This window comes from Homo sapiens (assembly GCF_000001405.40).
Source record: "Homo sapiens chromosome 16 unlocalized genomic scaffold, GRCh38.p14 Primary Assembly HSCHR16_RANDOM_CTG1".
NCBI classification, from domain to species: Eukaryota; Metazoa; Chordata; class Mammalia; order Primates; family Hominidae; genus Homo; species Homo sapiens.
The window spans coordinates 1,170,960-1,196,238 of NT_187383.1; the positions used below are offsets into that span (position 1 = coordinate 1,170,960).

Sequence of the window (25,279 nt, forward strand, 5' to 3'; positions counted from 1 at the left end):
TTGTGTCTTTGTTCTCATTGGTTTCAAAGATCATCTTTATTTCTGCCTTCATTTCTTTATTTACCCAGTAGACACTCAGGAACAGGTTTTTCAGTTTCCATGTAGTTGTGCAGTTTTGAGTGAATTTCTTCATCCTGAGTTCTAATTTGATTATTGCACTGTGGTCTGAGAGACTGTTTGTTATGATTTCTGTTCTTTTGCATTTGGCGAGGAGTGTATTACTTCCAATTATGTGGTCAGTTTTAGAATATGTGCAATGAGGTGCTGAGAAGAATGTATATTCTGTTGACTTGGGGTGGAGAGTTCTGTAGATATCTATTAGGTCTGCTTGGTCCAGAGCTGACTTCAAGTCCTAAATATCCTTGTTAATTTTCTGTCTCGTTGATCTGTCTAATATTGACAGCGGGGAGTTAAAGTCTCCCACTCTTGTTGTATGGGAGTCTAAGTCTCTTTGTAGGTCTCTAAGGACTTCCTTTATGAATCTGGGTGCTCCTGTATTTGGTGCATATATATTTAGGATATTTAGCTCTTCTTGCTGCATTGATCCCTTTACCATTATGCAGTGCCTTTCTTTGTCTCTTTTGATCTTTTTTGGTTTAAAATGTTTTATGAGAGATTAGGATTGCAACTCCTGCTTTTGTTTTTTTTCTTTCTTTTTTTTTTTTTTTTGCTTTCCATTTGCTTGGTAAATATTCCTCCATCCCTTTATTTTGAGCCTATGTGTGTCTTTGCACATGAGATGGGTCTCCTGAATACAGCACATCAACAAAATAGATAGAAAGTTAGCCATATTAATAAAGAAGAAAAGAGAGAAGAATCAAATAGATGCAATAAAATGTAATATAGGGGATATCACTACTGATCCCACCGAAATACAAACTACCATCAGAGAATACTATAAAAACCTCTATGCAAATACACTAGAAAATCTAGAAGAAGTGGATAAATGCCTGGACACATACACCGTCCCAAGTCTAAAGCAGGAAGAAGTCGAATCCCTGAATAGAACAATAATAAATTCTGAAATTGAGGCAGTAATTAATAGCATACCAACCAAAAAAAGTCCAGGACCAGATGGATTCACAGCCAAATTCTACCAGAGGTACAAAGAGGAACTGTTACCATTCCTTCTGAAACTATTTCAAACAATAGAAAAAGAGGGACTCCTCTCTAACTCTTTTTATGAAGCCAGCATCATCCTGATACCAAAACCTGGCAGAGACATAACAAAAAAAAAAAAGTTCAGGCCAATATCCCTGATGAACATCAATGCACCAATTCTCAATAAAATACTGGCAAACCGAATCCAGCAGCACATCAAAAAGCTTATCCACCACGATCAAGTCGGCTTCATCCCTGGGATGCAAGGCTGTTTCAACATATGCAATTCAATAAGTGTAATCCATCACATAAACAGAACCAATGACAGAAACCACATGATTATCTCAATAGATGCAGAAAAGGACTTCAACAAAATTCAACACCACTTCATGCTAAAAACTCAATACTCTAGGTATCCATGGAATGTATCTCAAAATAATAAAAGCTATTTATGGCAAACCCACAGCCAATATCATATGGAATGGGCAAAAACTGGAAGCATTTACTTTGAAAACCAGCACAAGACAACGATGCCTCTCTCACCACTCCAATTCAACATAGTATTGAGAGATCTGGCCAGGGTAATCAGGCAAGAGAAAGAAATAAATTGTATAAAAATAGGAAAAGAGGAAGTCAGATTGTCTCTGTGTGCAGATGACACGATTGTATATTTAGAAAACCCCATCGTCTCAGCCCAAAATCTCCTTAAGCTGATAAGCAACTTCAGCAAAGTCTCAGGATACAAAATCAATGTGCAAAAATCACAAGCATTTCTATAACCCAATAACAGAAAAACAGAGAGCCAAATCATGAGTGAACTCCCACTCAAAATTGCTACAAAGAAAATAAAATACCTAGGAATACAACTTACAAGGGATGTGAAGGATCTCTTCAGGGAGAACTACAAACCACTGCTCAAGGAAATAAGAGAGGACCGAAACAAATGGAAAAACATTCCATGCTCATGAATAAGAAGAATAAATATCATGAAAATGGCCATACTGCCCAAAGCAATTTATAGATTGAATGCTGTCCCCATCAAACTACCAATGACTTTCTTCACAGAATTGGAAAAAAATATTTTAAAGTTCATATGGAACCAAAAAAAATCCTGCATAGCCATGACATTCCTAAGCAAAAAAAAAAAAAAAAACAAAGCTGGAGGCATCATGCTACCTGACTTCAAACTATACTACAAGGCTACAGTAACTGAAACAGCATGGTACTGGTACCAAAACAGATATATACACCAATGGAACAGAGCAGAGGCCTCCCAAATAACACCACACATCTACAACCATCTGATCTTTGACAATCTTGACACAAACAAACAATGGGGAAAGAATTCCGGAACTATTTAATAAGTGGTGTTGGGAAAACTGGCAAGCCATATACAGAAAACTGAAACTGGACCCCCTTCCTTACAGCTTATACAAAAATTAACTCAAGATGGATGAAAGACTTATCAAGACCTGAAACCATAAAAATCCCAGAAGAAAATCTAGGCAATACCATTCAGGACATAGGCATGGGCAAAGACTTCAAGTCTAAAACACCAAAAGCAATGGCAACAAAAGCTAATACTGATAAATGAGATATAATTAAAGTAAAGTGCTTCTGCACAGCAAAAGAAACTATCATCAGAGTGAACAGGCAACCTACAGAATGGGAGAAAATTTTTGCAATCTATCCATCTGACAAAGGGCTAATATCCAGAATCTACAACAAATTTACAAGAAAAAAAAACCCATCAAAAAGTAGGTGAAGGATACGAACAGACATTTCTCGAAAGAAGACATTTATGCAGCCAAAAAAACATGAAAAAATCCTCCTCATCACTGGTCACTAGAGAAACGCAAATCAAAACCACAGTGAGATACCATCTCACACCAGTTAGAATGGTGACAATTAAATAGGAAACAACAGATGCTGGAGAGGATGTGGAGAGATAGTAACATTTTTACACTGTTGGTGGGAGTGTAAATAAGTTCATCCATTGTGGAAGACAGTGTGGCGATTCCTCAAGGATCTAGAACTAGAAATACCATTTGACCCAGCAATCCCATTACTTGGTATGTACCCCAAGGATTATAAGTCATTCTACTACAAAGACAAATGCACCCGTGTGTTTATTGCGGCACTATTCCCAATAGCAAAGACTTGAAACCAACCCAAATGTCCATCAATAATAGACTGGATAAAGAAAATGTGGCACATATACACCATGGAATACTATGCAGCCATAAAAAAGGATGAGTTCATGTCCTTTGCAGGGACATGGATGAAGCTGACAACCATCATTCTCAGCAAACTAACAGAAGAACAGAAAACCAGACACCGCTGTTTTCACTCGTAAGTGGTAGTTGAACCATGAGACCACATGGACACAGGGAGGGGAATATCACACACTGAGGCCTGTCAGGAGGTAAAGGGCTAGGGGAGGGATAGCATTAGGAGAAATACCTAAGGTAGATGGCAGGTTGATGGGTGCAGCAAACAACCATGGCGTGTGTATACCTATGTAACAAAACTGCACATTCTGCACATGTACCCCAGAACGTAAAGTATAATTTAAAGAAAGGATTACATATTCCATTAAATATCTATGAGAAATCAGTGACTCCTGAATATACACATGAATACACGCTGGGTCTACCTGTATTTTTAGGGAAACACTAGAATACAGCAAAATAATGTCATGATTTTATTAAAAATGGGGGTTTATCAAACCACACCAGGCATGTCCAGCTCTGTCCTGGAGTTGGTTCAGGGAACAGGTGGGTCCTGTGTTTAGCAGCCATGACAACAAGCTCACAGCGTCAGTTCTAGTTGACACCTCAAAAAGGCGAAGGGATCTCAACTAAAATGTCATGTGGATGTCACATCTGTGGGTGCTGCATACTCCCTCGATGTGAATATGGAAAAGTTAATTACCTCTTGAGGGGTCTGTTGAGATTAGTGCTGGTCTCTAAGGAACACCCAAAATGGCTCGATAGAGCCAGAAAGCAGACTGGCTCAGGGCTTTTGTGATGGTTTCGTGGTGGGTCAGAGTGAGGCTTCCCACTCACAGGAAGGGGATTGCACAGTGTGAAACACCCACTGGTGTCAAATGAGGAAGCTCCTGCGATTCCTAACTAGATTCACATTGTGTGATAAAAGACACACAATAGACATAACTTCATGGTCGGATATCACAAAATGCTGTTAAAAGATGTGGTAAAAAGGCAACTTTAAATTTTTAGTCATTGGAGTGTGTATAACACAAAAATCATTTTCAATATTTTGTTAACACATGCAGGCAATAGGACAAAGGTATGTGATGAGGGTAAAATCTCGAAAGTGTGAATCTTCCAGCTACCAAGTCATAGGGTAATAACTGATGTGTGCTGAGGGAGGAAACCATCATGCCATAGTGCTAATGGTATAACCCTTGGTGAATAGAGTTCAATATTTTATTGAAGTTTTCATAATTTTTATTTGAAGGTGCCATTTTTCAACATATTCAGATGCTTGTGAGTGCCATTGATTCTGTATCATATGAACAATGGCAATACCTTCCATGTTTACATAATATTAAAAACCATGTTAAGACTGAATATTTGGTGTAATGGTGCATCACATTATTCTAGCTTCCATACTAGTTGTTTTATTTGTTTGTTTTCTCCTTTGTTGGCATTTGGTTTCAAATTCATATGTCAGGTCTCTATAATGTAGGAATTTATTTAAAAGTGTCTTTTTTGTCCATTTTGATGGGGCTTCTAGGAGACATAAGAACCTCCTCTGCTTGCAACACATTTCAAAATTACACACTAATGTAGAACATCTGTATTTAATCCTGGTTTTTAGTTAATTGACAAGCTCTAGTAAGAGAATTAACTTCTCCATTCTGGGCTGATTTTACATCAGGTATAGGAATATACCCTAGGTGAAAGTTTGTACCAGTAATATGAATTATTAGGTAATAACCTCCACCTTTATGATTTAGGTGTTATTCATCAGGAAATAGTGTTAAATCAGGAGTCTCAATGAAAGTATTACTTAAGGGATATACAAAATATGTTGCTAATCTACATAAAACAGATGTGAACACACTCTTAGTATCCAGCCATGTTTCCTCTCAACCACACAGTAACTTTGACTTCACTTGGGACTTGTTCTAATTTTCAAATTAGTTACTTATTAATCTTAATGCTTCTAGATATTATGTGTGACTATTTTAGCAGAGAGTGAAGAAAGACAACCTAGGCTGACTACACAATGAGGAAAATCACAACCTGATGAAACAGGAAGCCTCTGGAAGTGAATGGCTCCAGGATTGAATAATTTGACAGCTCATGTGCCCAAGAAGTTTCTTTTCTCAATTTTCCACACTGATGCATCCAGAAAGTCAGCTTCACCCCTCGGGTGACTCCCATCATGCAGTTACATGGTGACAATATTCCCATGGTCACATACATATTTTATATATTGGCTGGAAAAGGGGCAGAGACAGTTCTTCAATTCTCCTCTGAAGGACCAGGAACACCTGAACAGACCACCTCCCCTGCCCCCATGACTAGAACTGCACCACGTGCCCACATGGACACTCATCCCTGATGGGGATAATAAGACTCCACTGATGAGGCCAACTATTTTAGCATATAAATTAGTAAAGACTGATATAAAGGTTTCAACAACTAATTGAAGTCTGTTCTTCTATGTCCACCAGAGACTACAGATGCTCCAGTGATATCTTGTTCTTCTTTGCTGCGTGACTGTGTCTCTTCTCCTTGTTCCATCCTCCAGAGAATCTCTTTCAGCTCCCACAGGTGCATTCCTCTGTTATATGTAACTGACAATTGATAAATTAGTGGAAGCCCTTACACTGAAGGAAGAGTCTCTGACCTCATCTCGGTCCATATTCCTAGAAAGGCATTGTGCCCGTAAGTCTGGGTGTGACCTTCTGAGTGTTCCTGACCCTCCTCCAGATGAGATGCTCATCTGTGTGTTCTTGTCCCTTCCACTGGGGTACAGCCCCCCTGTTTCCCCCAGGTGTTCCCTCCCACAGCTCCAGTGTTCCCCATCAGTGTCATCACCTCCCAGATCTGCTGCCCTGCCCTGCAGACTAAAGCTCTGATTCCATAAGGAAGAGAGTTGTGTCTCAACAGAACTTCGTGGCAGTGACCTCTGTTCCCATCTCAATTCCTGAGGAGTTGCACCAGTGCCCCTAGGGTACTGGTTTTGGTGGTTCCCCTGCAAAGTAATTTTTAGTTCTGTAGTGGATATAAGGGAGTCGAGTCTGAATGCCTTTCAAAAATGGGGGCTCTTGTTCTCTCCCAGACAGACACTTTGGGAAAGGAAGATTTTGTGACTGCCCCTTTTTTGGGGAAAGGGATTCAAGAGGATAGAAAAGCTCTTCAGTATGTGGTCCCTTAGAATTTCAAACTACAACAAGCTAACCATATTCAATTTCAAGCAATCCCATATATATTTGTATTTTTATCTTTAACAGCCTATATTTCATACGCCAGACTCTGCCTTAGGTAATCTCATATGCTGGCTTTGTTACTCTCTACAAGAACTTGCTTCTTGTTAAATTTAAGATTTTTTTTTAACTTCAGTTATCCTAAGCATTCAGAAATTTGCAAAATTTCATCTTGACTGTTTATCTGTTATTGTTGATGTAGTTGTAAGAAAAAAAGAAAATATATTCCTCATTTATGTACATTTTCAAGTTGAGTAGTAGATTTTTAGTACTACCAGAGTAATAAAATAATTTGAACATTGTTAAGCTGCTTAACAGAAAATCAAATTATGGTAAATTTGTTCAATGGAATACTACACAACATTTATAATAAATAATTGTCTGATACATGCAACAAGAAGGTAAAATATCTAAGTATTTTTGCTGAGTAAAATAAACCAGGCAAATGAGAAGATTTACCATATAATTTCATTTATATAAATTCTGGAAAATAAAAACTGAACTTAAGCAATATAACAACAAGGTAAAATATCTAAGTATTGATGTTCAGGAAAATAAAGCAAACAAGAATATGTACTATGTTATTCCATTTTAATAAATTCTGATAAATTAAATTCAATCTACAGCAATATAAAGAAGATCAGAATTTACCATTTGGGGAAATGGTAGAAGAAGGGAAGAGGAAAGGAGGAGGAATATGGAAGAATGAGAGGGAAATTTTGAGAATTTTCTGGTTCACCTTGATAACTAGGATGGTTACATCAGGTTTATCAATTGTACACTTTAAATATGTGAAGTTTATTATCAGTAAACTGAAATTTATAAAATTTATTACCAGCAAACAAATGAAAACTTGCACAAGAAGTAAGTGATATAAAGATAGAAAAAATACTAAATTTCAGAAACACCTAATAATTTATCTTCGTGAACCCTAGTTCTCACCATATTTTTAGGTGAATGCTAGAATGCAGCAAAATTACACATGTTCTCAATACAGAAAGTGGGTTTCACAAGCCACACTAGGCATGCCCAGCTCTGTCCTGGAGTTGGGTTAGGGAGTAATATAGGGCCAGTGGATGAGGAGCACAGGCCCAGATACTGGGGCTCACTAACCTCAGGTATGAGCTCTTAGATACATACAAAGCCCCTCCACGTATGGGTTTACTTCGCCATCTGTAAATAGAGAAACCATTGACCCCTAAAAATATGATTTACACAAATATGTAAAAATGTAAGAGAGTGATTAGTGCAAAGTGTTTATCACAGCACAATTTCCTAATAAGACAGCAAGTTTTCCAAACACCATCATTGTCATCAGATTCTTGCAGGGCATCATTACCTTATCTGGGCACTGCCCTCTGCTCAGGCGTCCCACCCCAGAGCTTGCTATATAGTAGGTGACATACAAATAGGGCCCTCCCTCTCCTGATGAAAACCAGCCCAGTCCTGACCCTGCAGCTCTGGGAGACGAGCCCCAGCCTTGGGATTCCCAAGTATTTTCATTCAGTGATCAGGACTGAACAGACAGGAATCACCATGGAGTTTGTGCTGAGCTGAGTTTTCCTTGCTGCTATTTTTAAAGGTGATTTATGGAGAGCTAGAGAGATTGAGTGTGAGTGGACATGAGTGAGAGAAACAGTGGATATGTGTGGCAGTTTCTGACCTTAGTGTCTCTGTGTTTGCAGGTGTCCAGTGTGAGGTGCAGCTGGTGGAGTCTGCGGGAGGCCTTGGTACAGCCTGGGGGGTCCCTTAGACTCTCCTGTGCAGCCTCTGGATTCACTTGCAGTAACGCCTGGATGAGCTGGGTCCGCCAGGCTCCAGGGAAGGGGCTGGAGTGGGTTGGCCGTATTAAAAGCAAAGCTAATGGTGGGACAACAGACTACGCTGCACCTGTGAAAGGCAGATTCACCATCTCAAGAGTTGATTCAAAAAACACGCTGTATCTGCAAATGAACAGCCTGAAAACCGAGGACACGGCCGTGTATTACTGTACCACAGACACAGTGAGGGGAGGTCGGTGTGAGCCCAGACACAAACCTCCCTGCAGGGGCGCGCAGGGCTACCAGGGGGCGCTCGGGACCCACTGAGGACGGGACAGGTCCCAGGAGCTGGTGCCGGGAGAGGTTTCCTTTCTCCTCAGCTGGAAAAGTCACGTTTATCTTCGCAGGACTCTGGAGTCTTCTAGGCTGTGATATTTTGTTACTTATATTTATTATGAATTTTATCATTAATATTTAAATTTTAGTAATTATTAACATTCTACATATTATTATATTTTTAAGTATATACTTTCAAGAAATAAACATTCCTAATTGTTTGCACTGATTCTTCCAGAGTTTTATTAACATTTGTTGACATCAGCAACTACATAGCTATAGGGACAAAAATTTATACCCATAGAAAGATGTATAAATACACAGACCAATGCGTATATATGTAGGCATTTGTATTAAACATTACAATGAAATGATAAAAAAAGTTTGAAAAAAATCAAACTTAATTAACTACATTATTAACTTTTAATTATTAAATTATTACAGTAATTCATAATTGATTTCCCAGATTTTCAATTGTTTACATAAATTGGTTTCTATTGGTTCATTTAAAATAGTACATTGGTCATTTTAAAGAGCTAAGAGTAAATGTTAAATGTTGTCACAATAAAAGATAAAAATTTGAAACAATGAATGATAATTATATCAGTTATTTCTTAATTATCTTAGTTATTTCATATTGTATTCACAAACCATAACATTGCCCTTTACCATGTACATATAAACAACCATAATTTGTAAATTTGCAATAAATTTTTTATTGTAATTTTTTATATTTATCCCAGATTATAATCTTTTTCTTCACTTCCAGATCTCACTGGATTGTCTCAAGGGCCCCATCCACACCACTGAGCCCTGATGAAAGGCTCTAGGCTGTGGCCGGGAGAGGCAGTCTCTTCTTCCAGAGCACACTCTGTTTGAGGGGGAGATGTCATCTCTGCCCTTGAGGAGCCCCAGCTGATGGGGGAGCTTTTGCCCTTAGGAAGCTCTCAGTCTGATGGGGAAGACGCTGTCCCTGCCCTCAGGAGGCTCTTGGTCTGAGAGGGGAGACATAATTCATTCTCTCTGAGTGCCCTCAGTCTGATGGGGGAGACACCGTCCCTGCCCTCAAGAGGCTCCAAGTCTGATGGGGGAATATTGGCTCTGTCCTCAGGAGTCCGGTCTAAGGAGGGTGTCTCAGCCCCACTCCTGAGGGTAAGGATTCCATGGCCACAGTCTGGACAGTGGGCCAGTCACGCTTGACAGTGGGCATGTTGCCAGCAGGACCCTTTGGGATGTGTCTGAGCCTGGAGGTGAGTGGCACGGGGGCTGGCAAGGCTAGGGTGGAGGCAAGCAGGTTCCGCTGTCTGCCGCCTTCACACCTTTCTCCTTCCACATGCATAGATGAGCCCACCAGCCCCAGCACTGACCTCCAAGCCAAGCATGTCCCTGCCTTTGCTGTGGTCTCCAGTGCCATGAACTCAGCCGCTGTCCTGGGCACCAGCCCATCTTCCCCGACCTTCACCTTCACCCTCGGACGGCATTACTCGCGGGACTGCAGTGAGCGCTCCCCACACCCACAGCCCCACCCTTTCCCTCACTGCCCAGTCCCAGGGGTCTCTGTTGGGTCTGCTGCTGGATGTCTGGCCTCTTCCTCTGGTTTCTGCTTCTCCTGGGGCACCTTGGGAGAGTCACCTCCCCTGCCTAGAAGGGAGGGCTCTGGGAAGCCCCTGACCTGCTGCCCCGCTGACCCTGAGGCCCGATGCAGGCGGCTTTGCAGGCAGCATCAAGGCTGGCCGCCGCTCCTCCTACCTGCTGGCCATCAGCACGGAGCGCTCCAAGTCCTGCGATGATGGACTCAACACCTTCCGTGACGAGGGTCAGGTTCTGCGGTGAGGCCCTGTCTGGACATGGGGTGGGGTGGCCACAGCCACCCTGGCCAGCTGCTCTGGGGCAGGGCTTTTGGCCTTGGGGGTCCTCTATGCATGGGACAGTGTGCCTCCCCCGCTGGAAGGCTTCTGGGCTTGGGGTTTGGTGGGTGACGAGATAGTGAGGTCCCAGCTTTGCTGCCCACATCCCTCACCCTCCACCCTTGCTTCCCAGGCACCTGCCAAACCGCATACCCAGCCTGCTGTTGCTCCGGAGCTTCTTCACAGACGGGGTGAGTTGCAGGTCTGTGTGTGTGCGCAGGAGTGAGGGTGTGGAGAGAGAGGGTGTCAGGGAGGTGGGGCCACAGCCTCGGCATGGGGGTTCCTGCTCCAGCTCCTGCCTTCCCCCTCCTCCCTGCACCCCTCACCCTTGTGTCCACCGCGGGACCGGCCCTCTGCTGTGGGCCCCGACATCCCTGAATGACACCATGCAGCCCCACCCAGGGGCCCCCGTCTGGACTGCCTCTTTCCAGACTCATCCCCCATAGCCACACAACTCACTTCTCCACTGTCTTCGCAGCTTTTTAGGTCTTCCCTGAAATTCCAGCCTCCACTCCTGACATTTCATGCCTCCCTTCGCTACTCTGTTTTCCTCCTCAGCACGCCTCATGCACAATTGGTGTTTCCCTTCCTCCCTGCCTGGCTCCCCAGCTAGAATAGAAGCTCCCCGAGCTTATATTTGGGGCTTCATATGTTTCCTTCACTACCCTGAGTCAGTATTTGCATCGCATCTTGTCTTCATGGGATGGGGTCGGGGTGGACACTGGAAAGGTGTGGCCTGGACACAGGGTTGAGATTGGTGGACAGGTGGAGTTCCCAGCCTCAGGACCTGGGGAGGCAGGATCAGGCCTGTGATAGCCCTGGCTGTTTGTTTGTTTTGAGACAGAGTCTCACTCTATTGCCCAGTCTGGAGTGCAGTGGCATGATCTTGGCTCACTGCAACGTCCACCTCCTGGGTTCAAGCTATTGTCCTGCCTCAGCCTCCCGAGCAGCTGGGATTACAGGCGTGTGCCACCACACCTGGGTAATTTTTGTATTTTTAATAGAGACTGGGTTTCACCATGTTGGCCAGACTGGTCATGAACTCCTGACCTCAGGTGATCCACCCACCTCGGCCTCCCAAAGTGCTGGGATTACAGGCCTGAGCCACCGCACCTGGCCTCAAGTGATCTTCTTGCTTCGGCCCCCCAAAATGCTGGGATTACAGGCATAAGCCACCACACCTGGACATATTGTTGTTTCTAAAATCACATATATATTTTTCATGCACGATTTTTCTTTTTTTTTTTGAGATGGAGTCTCACTCTATTGCCCAGGCTGGAGTGCAGTGGCACGATCTCAGCTCACTGCAACCTCCATCTCCTGGGTTCAACCAATTCTCATGCCTCAGCCTCCCGAGTAGCTGGGATTATAGGCATGTGCCACCACACCTGACTAATTTTTGTGTTTTTAGTAGAGATGGGGTTTCACCATGTTGGCCAGGCTGATCTTGAACTCCTGACCTCAAGTGATCTGCCTGTCTCAGCCTCCCAAAGTGCTGGGATTACAGGCATGAGCCACCGTGCCCGCCCCACCTTTCCCTGGCTGTTTTTGATTATAGATGGACTGGAAAAGCCATCTTGATGTCAAGCGCTCTGTCTCATTGGTTGGTTGAACACCCCGGTGATATTGGCACCTAGCTTATTTCTTATCACTTCTTCTGCTTACTTAACTCTCCCTTGACTTGCGCCCTCTGGCTGGAGTCCTGTTGACACTGTCACTTCCTCTGTTTAACGCCTCGTGGACATGACTACCTGCTCCACTCCCTCAGCCTTTGTTGATGTTCCCACTTCCCCTGTTTATTTAACTCCTCGTTGACACGATCACTTCCTCCATTTTCTTAATTCTTCTAAGTCTATATAGTTACGGGAGGCTCCGAATTGGCTCCTCTAGCGTGGTGAGGCGTGTGGTCTGCTGACAGGTCATAGCCTTTCCTCCTTTCTGGCTTCTCCTTTATGTAGGTCTCATGACCTCAACACAAGTGGTCCAGAGAGGACAAGCAATGCCCATGAGGTCGCATGGCACATCGGGGTGTAGCACAGATATATATCAGGACTGTGCAGCCACAAGTGGTCCATGGGGTTCCTGAGATGCTGGCATTGTGGGAGCCACCCTAAATTGTCCTCTGTTGTCTCCCTGCAGTCCTTGGATAGCTGGGGCACCTCTGAAGATGCTGACGCTCCTTCTAAGCGACACTCAACCTCTGACCTCTCAGATGCGACCTTCAGCAATATCAGGAGAGAAGGCTGGTTGTATTATAAGCAGATTCTCACCAAGAAGGGGAAGGTAAGATGGGTGGAGGAATGAGGTGGAAGCTGGCTCCAGCAGAACCCTCCAGCCTCTCCTAGGCCTACCCTGACAGCCTCTGGAGCCAGAGAGAACCAGTGTAGGTTGTTGCATGAAGGATGGAGGATAGATGCTAGGAAGAACTTCCTGGCAGGGGGATTTAAAGAACTTATGTAAAAGAAGTTAACAAGAGAGGTGGATTTTGCTGTGGGATGGATCTGATCGAGTCGTGCTTGGAATTCTGGCAAAACCATCCCACAGTGGCCCTGGCTTGACAGGCCATCCTGAAGATGGCCGCTGGGGCTCATGGAAAACAAGGAGCAAGGCCGGGGTGATTTCCGTAGGAGAGTTAAGGCCCAAGAAGATGCAGGCAAGCCAGCAAAGGGCTTAGTGTTCATCCTAAGGGCAACCAAAGGCTCTCGGGGGCTCTTGCCAAGGGAGTTACAGCTTTAAAATATTCATTTGGCTCCCTGGGAGTGAGTTAGGGAGGGGCCACGCTGGAGGCAAGAAGACCAGTTAGAGCCACCATGGAGATCCAGGTGAGAGGCAAAGGGGGCTTCGGGTAGTACTTGGGGAGGGCCTGGGAGGGAACCAGCAGGACTCTGAGAGGAGAAGGGCAGAGCCCCTGGATCCATGGGGTGCAAATCCTGGCCCCAGGCTGTGCTGTGGGCTGGAGAAGTGGGAGGAGAGACCACTGCCTTCCCTCCCGGCAATTAGGATGAACCCGGGTTTGACTCTTGACTACATCACCCATTGCTCTGAGAGCTGGGTGACTCACCTGGCCGTGACTCAGTGTCCTCGTCTGTAAATGGAGCTAACAGTAATCCCTAGCTCATAAGCCTATTGCTAAGGATTAAATGAGATGATCTAAGTAAAGGGTTTACCCAGTGCCCAGCACTTGAAACTGCTGTACTTCTGCTTACTGCTATTTGTTTTCTTTTTTTGAGATGGAGTCTCACTCTGTTGCCCAGGCTGGAGGGCAGTGGCGCAATCTCAGCTCACTACAACCTCTACCTCCTGGGTTCAAGCAATTCTCCAGCCTCAGCCTCCTGGGTAGATGGGACTACAGGCACTCACCACCAAACCCAATTAAATTTTTTTTTTGTATTTTTTTAGTAGAGACGGAGTTTCACCATGTTGGTCAGGCTGGTCTCGAACTCCTGACCTCAAATGATCTGTCTGCCTTGGCCTCCCAAAGTGCTGGGATTACAGGCGTGAGCCACTGTGCCCAGCCCACTTACTGCTATTTGAATTTTTTGCCCTGCCTTCTGGGGTCTTGAGGGTCCCTGGAAAGAACATAAGCTTTGAAGCAGACAGACTTCGAGTTCCTATCCAGCCACATATCAAGCACATGGCTTTGGGCACCCCACTTACCTTCCCCGAGCCTCACTTTCTGATCTGTACGATGGGAACAATGTTATCCTACCCCAAGGGCTGCTGTGGATTAAGTGAGGGTGAAGTCGAGGCGGGACTGATGCGCCTCCGTGGAGAATGACTAAGGCCTCCCTGCTCGGGAGCCTCTGTGGAGGTTCTGGGGAGTTAGTGGTGAGGGAGCCAGGGCAGCCCTGCCCTCCTGGGGCTCCTGTTGCTCCTGTTGAGCAGAGAGAACGCATGTGGCATCATGGTTCCAAGTGCACAGACTGCCGTGATGCCCGGGTGCAGGGGCAGGTGGGCGTGGGTAGGGAGGTATCCAGAGGCTGAGACACGAAAGGATGAGAAGCCACAAAACTGGGAGACAGTGGAGGGGCCTGACAGGGAGGATGTCTCCTTAGAGGGTCCTGGGGAAAGGTGGGGAGAGGTGTGCTGGGAGCCAGGGCGAGAGGTGGAAGATGAGCTGGGTAATTGGGTGCCTGCCCAGAGTGTGGGGCCTTCATACCCAGAAAGAGCCTGTCCAGGGTTTTATTATTTTATTTTATTTTATTTTATTTTATTTTATTTTATTTTATTTTATTTTATTTTATCTATTTTTGAGATGGAGTTTCACTCTGTTGCCCAGGCTGGAGTGCAGTGGTATGATCTCAGCTCACTGCAACCTCCGCCCCCTGGGTTCAAGCAATTCTCGAGCCTCAGCCTCCTGGGTAGCTAGGACTACAGGCGCCTGCTACCACACCCAGCTAATTTTTGTAGTTTTAGTAGAGACTGGGTTTCACTATGTTGGCCAGGCTGGTCTCGAACTCCTGACCTCAAGTGATCTGCCTGCCTTGGCCTCCCAAAGCGCTTGGATTACAGGCGTGAGCCACCGTGCCCGGCTCTGTCCAGGGTTTTAAATGTGGGCTGGGGCTGGCAGGAGACTGGGGTTATGTCTGTGACAGGAGGAGCCAATCCCATTGCTCTTGTCCAGGTGAGTGAGGGTGGGGGCCCCGACCCAAGGCAGTGGTGTGGGGCTGGGTGGAGCGGACACTTTAGAGAGAGATTCCATGGGAAGGACGGCCAGGGCTTGCCAGCTGCTGGGAGGTATGGAAGGAGGAGGAGGCGATAAGGTTCCTGGATTCCTGGCTTGGGCTGAGGGAGGGTGGTGGGTGGTGGGTGGTGGGACCCTCCCTGGGCCATGGCACACTGGAGGAGCAGGTTTGGGGAGAGGAAGCCAAGTGGCTCCACTTGGGCTATGTGAGTCTGAGGGCCCTGGGACAGACCCCAGTGGAGATGTCCTGGGGACAGAGGCTCTGAGGGCGTATTACTAGAGGGAGGCCCACCTGGGGACGGCCTTTGTCTGTCAGCACCCACGAGTTACATATGCCTCTGTGCAGGGGCTTGAAGGAAGAAGGCAAGAGACCTGGCTGAGCCTTGAGAGAAGTGGGGGGGGCCGGGGAGGCCAACAGAGACCAAAAAGAGCCAGCAAGTTGGCAGCGACCCGTGGGGTGGGAGCCATGAGGCAAGGAGGGACCAGCCACGTGCACTGTGCGAGGAGAGCCGCAAGTGGGCCAGCCCTTCCAGTCTAACGTGTGAGCCACATGAAGGGTCCTTGTGAGGGTGGCTGGCTCCCCCTGCTGGGGAGCCTGACCCTCAGCCCCTTGGGGCCCTGAGCCCAGTTCAGGGACAGGAGCTGTCCCCTTCCTGCTCACTGGCCAGTTCTGGAGGACCAGGCCTCCACTCCCTTGCTGGCCAAAACCCGATGTCACTTGTTCCTTTGGTGCTGTGGCCTGGACGTTAGAGGAGAGTCTTCAAGTCAGCCTCAGGCCCTTGGTCCACCCAGGCCGTGGGCACCCTCTCTGTGCTCCCTCCCAGCCCCAGCCTCTTTCAGAGACACGGACTGTCAGGCAGAGGAGGGAAAGGGACAGTGACTTGTCCCCTCAGCCTCAGCCCCAGCATGGGAGCTGCATGCAGCCTTGGTGACCAACTCCCTCACTCATTTACCAGCCGGAGACACTGAGGCCTGGGAGTGCGGTTGACTTGTCCTAGGTCATGCCGCTGGTTTAGCCTCAGAGAGGTGCCCTTGTCACCACCTCACTGTCACATTAAAATTCTCCCTGGAGGGCTCTGCTGTCTCCTACTCTGAATGTCCCTGTCCCCCTCCAGCAGTTCTGTGATGAGCAGGGCTCACAGCTCAGGATCCACATGATGGGAGGCCAGATGTGGGCTGTGCCCATCTGCCAGCCACGGGACCTCTTTGTCTGGTTTGTTCTGAGAGCTGAGGCCTGTGCTGGATGTGGAGCCACCAGCCAGCAGAGAGGAGCTCTTGGTCTGATGGGAGATGGAGCTCCTGCCCTCAGGGTGCTCCAAGGATCATTAATTCATTTATTCAGCAAATATTGATGAGCGCTTGCATGCTGCTGTAGGCCCTGGGATATGGAAATGAGAGGACGGACAAGCTCCCTGTCCCCAGGACAGCCTGAGGCTGCAGTAAGTTCTTGGAAAGGATCAAGCTGATCAGAAGCGGGAGCTGCATTGAGGGAAAAATATGGCCAGAGAAAGCCTCGCTGAGGAGTTGACATTGGTGATGCTGGAGTTCAGATCTGAAGGGGAAGAAGGAAGCAGCCACATATAGAAGTGAGGGAGGGGGGCTTAGGCAGAAGGAACAGCAAGCGGAGAGGCCCTGAGAAAAGAAAGGCTTGGCTCGCTCACATGCAAGGGCCCCCTGGCTTGACATAGTGAGAAAGGTGTGAAGATGAATTTGGAGAAAGGCAGGTACAGACCACAGGAGACTTTAGATTTGATTCTAAGGGCGATGGGATCTCTTGAGAGGATGCTGAGCATGGGAGAGATGTGATCTCCTTTTCATTCTAACATGATCGCTGCAGCTGCTGCTGGAGAATGGATGCAGGAGCAAGAGTAGAGACTGGGAAGGTCTGTGCATCCTCCAAGCAAGAGGCGTTGATGGCATGGAAAGATGTCTTTCCTCTGGCAGGAAAGACAGAGACAGGGGATGTTTTGGAGGCAGAACAGTTGTGACTTCCTGATGGATGGGATGTCAAGGGCGAGGAAAAGGGAGGAGTCAAGGGCAGCTCCCAGGTTTCTGGACAACTGGATGGATTGACTGAGCTGGAAAAGATGGGGGTAGAGAGTGGAGAAGAGGTTTGATGGTAAGAAATCACATGGCCTGGCAAGTATTGTGCAAAGTGCCCATGGGAACTGCAAATGAAGACACTGAGCAGGGTGGGGGTGCCGGGCTGTGGCTGGGGGAGATGCTGGGCTCGGGAATGGCCATCAGCAGGTGGACCTGGTTTAAAGGCATGGCACAGGTGACATCCTTGAGGGAGGTGTGCAGGGAGAGGAGAGGAGGGGAGAGTCAGGGCGAAGTTCTGGAGCTCCGCCTCCTTTAGGGCGGGGTCTGTTACCCTCTGCTCTGCTGACATTTTGAGCCAGATAATTCCTTGTTGGGGGAGGCTGTCCTGTGCATTGCGCAATGTTTAGCCGCATCCCTCAGATGCCATAGCACACCCTCCAGCTCCCTCCACACAAATGTCCCGTGGTGACGAGTCTCCTGGCTGTTTAACTACAGGTGTAGAGGGTGGGGGAGGGGAAGTAGAGAAGACTAGGAAGGAGCCAGTGGCATTAGGAAGAAAGCCGGGAACGTGGGGTCTCAGGTGCCGAGATGGGGTCTGGAGAGGGAAGGAGGGGCTGGCTGTGTCAGATGCCGCCAAGGGGTTAAGGCAAGTAAGTTGGGGAGAAGCAGCCATTGGCTTTGGCCACATGGCGGTTCTGGGTGTCCCTGAGAGGAGCTTCTGGGCAAGTGGAGTCTTGGGTGGGCGGCAGGAAAGTGGGGAGAACGACCCTCTAAGAGTGCGGACAGCTTCTGAGCAGGTTTGCTGGGGTGAGGGGCAGCCTGGGGAGGGGCGTGGGCTGGGAATGGCTTCCCGAGGATTTCATGTACGGAGGGCCATGCTGGGTGTCTGAGCATTGCCACCGCTCGGTGAGTGTTGATGTTGGTGTTTAGAGGGGGAGAGGGTTGGGGTCTGCTGGCGGGCTTTAGGGTGATGGGTAGGGGTGTCTAGGCAGGCGAGGGACTGAGAAAGCATTGGTGGGCTGTGGGCAGGAGGCTGCCCAGGTCTAGCCGGGTGGAGCAGGGGGCTCCTGGTAGGCAGCGTGGGGTCCATCCCCCGGCTGTCCTCTGTCTGCTACTGTGAGAGCAGTGGGCAGAACTGACCTCTCACCACTCCTGTTTCCCCCAACCCCGTGTCTCCCTGCAGAAAGCGGGCAGCGGCCTGCGCCAGTGGAAGCGGGTGTACGCCGCGCTGCTGGCGCGCTCGCTCTCGCTGAGCAAGGAGCGGCGGTAGCCCGGGCCGGCGGCGGCGGGGGCTGTGGGGGCCGGCGCAGGTGAGGACAAGGCGGCGCCCGTCTGCGTCGGCTCCTGCCTCGTGGACATCTACAGCGAGACCAAGAGGAGGCACGTGTTCCGGCTGACCACCGCTGACTTCTGTGAATATCTCTTTCAGGCTGAGGACCGGGATGACATGCTGGGGGGATCAGAGCGATCCGGGAGAACAGCAGGGCCGAGGGCGAGGTGAGGGCCCGGCCAGCCCGGCGGCCACAGAGGGCGGGCGGGGTGGCCTCTCACCGGCTGTGGACCTGGGATGTCCGCTCTGAGCCTCACTTCCCTCTGCTAGAAAGGGGGGCTGACAGGAGTGCACCTCGTGATTGTGTCCCCCTAGGTTTCGGGGTGACGAGGGTGCAAGGGCAGGGCTCATGGAGGACCTGGCGTCCTCGGGTGCGGGGACCAGCAGTCACCATCCTGACCCTAATGATGACAGGGATTATTGTGACTGTGTTAGGATCGCCATGAGCAGGCTCTGATGTGGAGTGGTCAGCTCCAGGCCAGTCTCAGCTTTTCTCAGCAGGCGAGGAAGGCAGGGGCCTCCTATGGAGTGTGTTAGGGCATGAGTGTCCCCACACCAGAACTGCACTGGGCTGGCCTGACTGCAGGAGGATGAACACATTGACCTTGTGAGGAGGCTGAGAGGCTTGGCCTTTGGCCACAGGTGGGCAGGGTTGGAGCCAAGGGCCTCGGCAGGGACTTTGGGAGAATTTTTTTTTTTTTTTGAGACAGAGTCTCGCTCTGCTGCCCAGGCTGGAGTGCAGTGGCGCGATCTCAGCTCACTGCAACCTCCGCCTCCCAGGTTCAAGTGATTCTCCTGCCTTAGCCTCCTGAGTAGCTGAGACTATAGGCACATGCCACCATGCCTGGCTAATTTTTTTTTAATAGAGACGGGGTTTCACTGTGTTAGCCAGGATGGTCTTGATCTCCTGACCTCATGATCCTCCCACCTCAGCCTCCCAAAGTGCTGGGATTACAGGTGTGAGCCACTGCGCCCAGCCGAAGAATTTTTTTTAATGGCGCCCATTGCGGTCAGCCGTAGCTACACTCCAGGGGCCTAGGTAGGGATTCCTCCCTGTTTACTTCTTTGGCCAGGAGCCTGCACAGAAGTGCCTTGAGACACCCACACAAAGTCATGTGGGCATCCCGGGCCTGGGGTCTCTGCCAAGAGGGCAGTGGGCCTGGGCCTGCTCTGGCCGTGGGAGGGGGCGCTAGTGCATGGCCTCTTGCTGAGGACACATCCTCTCGCTGACCAGGCTCTGCTCTCCCGGGAACAGCTTTCCCCACTGCAGGGAGGAAGGCACCTGGAATTTGGGCCTCCTCCTCTGGGGGCCTGGCTTGGCTGTCTCCAACAAGGCTTAGTCAGGGGGGTTCCAAGTCACATCACTATGGCAGTAGCAGTCCCTCCTGGGGCACCTCCTCCATGCCTGCTCAGCATCTGCCAGGAAAGTGGCGAGTGCTGCATGATTCTGCACCCAGCCCCGAGCCTTCCCTTTTAGCCCCCCATGTTTATTACCGAGGAGACTGAGGCTCAGAGAGCCTAAGAGGCTTCCCCAAGGCCTCAGCTGGTGAGAGGGTGCTGGGGAGTCCAGGCCTGGTCTTTCTCACTCCAGGGTCTGGGCTGTCCACCTGGCAGGTGGACAAGAGGGGAAGCAGGGCTAGGGATGAACCCAGGGGTGGGCTGGCTGTGGGCACTGACATGATCCGCTCTCTCCTCTCCTGCTTCAGGACCCCGGCTGTGCCAACCAAGCTCTGATCAGCAAGAAGCTTAATGATTATCGCAAAGTGAGGTGAGGCCTAGCCCTCATGGAGCAGTCTCCTCTGTGGGGGTGGTAAGGGGCTGAAGGCAGAGGATGTCTTCCTGGACCACCTCCAGGGCTGCCCTCTGCTGGGGAAAGGGGTATCCAGGGTATCCAGGGTCTCCAGGCTGCAGTTTGGCATGGAGGCATTGCCTCAGGGTGGAGGGGATGTCCCGAGGGGCAGGAGGCCAGGGTGGGTGGCCTGCTTGGCCACCCCAAGTGAAGACCTCTCCTCTCCCCCTTTTTCCTACACAGCCATAGCTCTGGGCCCAAAGCTGATTCCTCCCCCAAAGGCTCTCGCGGCCTGGGGGGCCTCAAGTCTGAGTTCCTCAAGCAGAGTGCGGCACGTGGCCTCAGGACTCAGGACCTGCCCGCAGGGAGCAAGGGTAGGAAGGTGGCCACTGAGACAGGGTGGTGTGTTGGGGAAGAGGGCATGGAGAGGGGAGGGCATGTGTGTGTGTGTTGGGCTGTGTCTGCTCGTGTGTGCCTGACTGTGTGCCAGGGTTACCGGTATGTCTGTCTGCGTGTGCATGCCTGTGAGGGTCTGGGGGCTCTCAGGGTCTTGGGGTGGAAGGGCCTGGAGCCTGATTCCCCTCCCTGACATCCCTGCTGGGTGGTCCTCTAATCTTTGCTGGTGTCTCTGCAGGGATGAGAGGCCCACCCTTTCCAAGAGCAACCTTTCCCATTTCCCTCACCTTTGGCTATTAGAAAGTTCTTACCTGGCTGGGCAAGGTGGCTCACACCTGTAATCCCAGCACTTTGGGAGGCCAAGACAGTCAGATCACCTGAGGTCAGGAGTTCAAGACCAGCCTGACCAACATGGCGAAACCCCAACTCTACTAAAAATACAAAAGGCCGGGCACGGTGGCTCACGCCTGTAATCCCAGCACTTTGGGAGGCCGAGGCGGGTGGATCACAAGGTCAGGAGATCGAGACCATCCTGGCTAACACGGTGAAACCCCATCTCTACTAAAAAACACAAAAAATTAGCTGGGCATGGTGGCAGGCACCTGTAGTCCCAGCTACTCAGGAGGCTGAGGCAGGAGAATGGCATGAACCTGGGAGGCAGAGCTTGCATTGAGCCAAGATTGCGCCACTGCACTCTAGCCTGGGTGACGGAGCAAGACTCCGTCTCAAAAAAAAAATACAATAAAAGTACCCGGGCGTGGTGGTGTGCGCCTGTAATCCCAACTACTTGGGAGGTTGAGACACGAGAATCACTTGAGCCTGGGAGGTGGAGGTTGCAGTGAGCCGAGATCACACCACTGCACTTCAGCCTGGGTGACAGAGCGAGACCCTGTCTCAAAAAAAATAAAATAAATAAATAAATAAAAGAAAGTTGTTCCCTTGGGCCAGCAGGCATGGTGGCTGACACCTATAATCCCAGCATCATTTTGGGAGGCTGAGGCTGGAGGATTGCTTGAGGCCAGGAGTTTGAGACCAGCCTGGGTAACATAGCAAAGTCCTATCCCTACAAAATATTTTTTTATATATTATTTATTTATTTAGAGACAGAGTCTTGTTCTGTCACTCAGGCTGGAGTGCAATGGCATGATCTCAACTCATCGCAACCTCCACCTCTTGGGTTAAAGCGATTCTTGTGCCTCAGCCCCCTTAGTAACTGGGATTACAGGCATGCGCCACCCCGCCCGGCTAATTTTTTTTTTTTTTTTTTGAGACGGAGTCTTGCTCTGTTGCCCAGGCTGGAGTGCAGTGGTGTGATCTCGGCTCACTGAAAGCTCCGCCTCCTGGGTTCGCACCGTTCTCCTGCCTCAGCCTCCTGAGTAGCTGGGACTACAGGTGCCCGACACCACATCTGGCTAATTTTTTTGTATTTTTAGCAGAGACGGGGTTTCACCGTGTTAGCCAGGATGGTCTCGATCTCCTGACCTTGTGATCCGCCCGCCTCGGCCTCCCATAGTGCTGGGATTACAGGCGTAAGCCACTGCACCCGGCCCACGCCCAGCTAATTTTTGTATGTTTAGTAGAGACAGGGTTTTGCCATGTTGGCCAGCTGGTCTCGAACTCCTGGCCTCATGTGGTCCTGCCAGCCTCAGCTTCCCAAAGTGCTGGGATTACAAGCATAAGCCACTGTGCCTGGCAAAAAAATTTTTTTTAATTAGCCAGGTGTGGTGGTATGAGCTTATAGTCCCAGCCACTCGGGAGGCTGGGGAGGGAAGATTGCTTGAGCCCAGGAATTTGAGGCTGCATTGAGCTATGATCATACCACTGCACTACAGCCTGAGCGACAGAGACCCTGTCTCTAAAGAAACAAAGTTCTATGGCTTCCGCCTTGTAGTTTTGGCCCACGAGCCACACAGAAGTCCTTGCATTGCTCTGGGCCTCTCCTTTGGGGTAAGCATCCTCCCCTTCAGGCCTTCTCTCTTGCCATACAATGTCCCATCAGCCCTGGGCATCTGGTTTCTTCTCTGATGGAATCCCCATACATCCAAATGTGTGAATGTGGCAGTGAATGTGTGCGACCCTCCTGGATACTCCAGCTCACTCTGGCTCTGTCTCCCCCACTTCAGATGACAGTGCTGCAGCCCCCAAAACCCCCTGGGGCATCAACATCATCAAGAAAAATAAGAAGGCTGTCCCAAGGGCATTTGGGGTCAGGCTGGAGGACTGCCAGCCAGCCACGGAGAACCAGGTGGGTCTCTGCCACACGCCAGAGCAGGCCCGGCAGGGGGAGACCAAGGCACAGAGGGTCAGAGCAGCAAGGGACATGGAACAAGCTCTCCACCTCATTGTACAAACACAGCTGGGAAAACAGCCCAGAGAGGGGAGGCCTGCCCTGGGCCTCCCAGGGAGGGAGCAGCAGGGCTGAGGCTGAGCCCGGCTCCTTCTCAGACCATGGCGAGGCTTTGGTGTCATTTGTAGCTCTCAGACTGGAGGCAGCAAGGGCCTTTTGTTCCCCCCAAGGGTTCCTGGCAGCAGCTCTGGGCCTTGCATTGTCCCCTTCTTGGCCTCCCCAGCTCCTCTGGCCCCTGTCCCCCCTAACACCCCTCCCCTGTGTCCCCAGCATGTCCCCTTAATCGTGGCTGCATGCTGTCACATTGTGGAGGCACGAGGGCTGGAGTCCACAGGCTTTTACCGAGTGCCTGGCAATAATGCAGTGGTGTCCAGCCTACAGGAGCAGCTCAATCGTGGGCCTGGTGACATCAACCAGCAGGATGAGGTGGGTGAAGCTGGGGGCATGGTGCCCCCTGGAGGACAGAAGGGACAACGACCCGGCCGTTAGTTCTTGTACTCAATAACCATTTATTTTAGAGTAGGGTTTCTCAACCTCAGTGGACATTTTGGGAAGAACAATTATTTGTTGTGTGGGGTTGCCCTGTGCGCTGGAGGAAATTTGGAATCATCCCTGGCCTCGATCCACTAGATGCAAGTGTCACCTCCCAGTTGGGAAAATCAAAATGGCTCCAGACATTGTCAAATGTCCTCTGGGGGTGGAGTGGGAGTTTGGGGGACAAAATTGCCTCCTTCTGTTAGAACCACTGATTTAGGGCCATGTAAGTATCAGGTTAACTGTCCTAGCTAGGTGATAGGAGCACAGTGGGAAATGAGACAGACGGGATCCTGGCTCCTCCTGGAGCTTACAGTCCTGCAGGGAGACAGGCATGAACATAGAAACAAAAGCAGAAAATAATGACAAATTGGGTTAAGCGCCATGAAGGAAACAAAGTCAGGGCTGGGGTGCAGGTGACAGGGCAGTGGTGAAGGTGGCTGCTTTAGCTATGAGGGTCAGAGAAGGCCTCTTTGAAGAGCGACTTTTAGGCGGGGATGAGGAGCCAGTTGTGTGGAGGCGGGGAGGAAAGTTCTGGTTGAGGGAACCAGCACATGCAGAGGACCTGAGACAGGAAGGAGCTGGCATGAATGACTGCGGTGTCACGGATGCTTAAACTGTGCCCAGTGGAGGCAGCAGCTGCCACTCACTGTGTCCCCACAGTGCCTGGGACTTTCTGTGAATGGGGAGGTGTTGGAGCCCCCGCGCTGGCAGGAGCAGGGAGGGGCTGGGGCCAAGTGTGAGTGTGGGCACAGGACCTCTCTGGGGACTCAGTTCTGCTGCCACCATCCTGATGAGTAGAGAGCTTAGTCTAAGTGGGTCCCAGGGAGGGCCTGGTGGGCTTGATTGGGCTCTGGGGTGAATGATCATGGAGGCATGGGCATTGGGCTAGGCCTGCCTGTGGCCTGACATCTGACTCCTCCCCCAGCGCTGGCAAGACCTCAATGTGATCAACAGCCTGCTCAAGTCCTTCTTCCAAAAGCTGCCCGAGCCTCTTTTCACTGATGGTGAGTAGGAGGTGGAAGTGGGGGTGGGGAGGGGACACCAGTCTGTGCCGCACCCCTGACCACTACTTTTGCATTTGGTTTTACTCTTTTTTTTTTTTTTTTTTTTTTTTTTGGAGACAGTCTTGCTCTGTCGCCCAGACTGGAGTGCAGTGGCGCAATCACAGCTCATTGCAGCCTCAAGCTACTGGGCTCAAGCGATCCTCCCACCTCAGCCTCCTGAGTAGCTGAGACAGCAGGTGAACACCACCACACCCAGCTAATTTAAAAGTTTTTTTCAGAGATGGGGGGAGTTTCTCACTATGTTGCTCAGACTGGTGTTGCACTCTTGGGCTCAAGCAATCCTCCTGCCTGCCCCAGCCCCACAAAATGCTGGGATTACAGGCATGAGCCACCACGCTGGCTTTTTTTTTTTTAACACAAAATCTTATTAAAAAAAAACATAGATTGTGCAGATGTGAATAAAAACAGCACAGGACCCTGTGAATCTCCTCCTCCCTTTCACGGGAGGTTGTGGCTAACACTTTCTGAGCATTAGTGTGTGCCAAGCACAACTCCCTACAGCAACTCCATGAGGAAGGTGC

The 25,279-nt window shown here is 49.4% G+C and overlaps 1 pseudogene; it reads left to right on the plus strand.

The window, feature by feature from the left end:
- The window catches only part of LOC102723999 (rho GTPase-activating protein 23-like), a 42,759-nt pseudogene that overhangs the window by 5,228 nt on the left and 12,252 nt on the right, over nucleotides 1-25,279 (plus strand).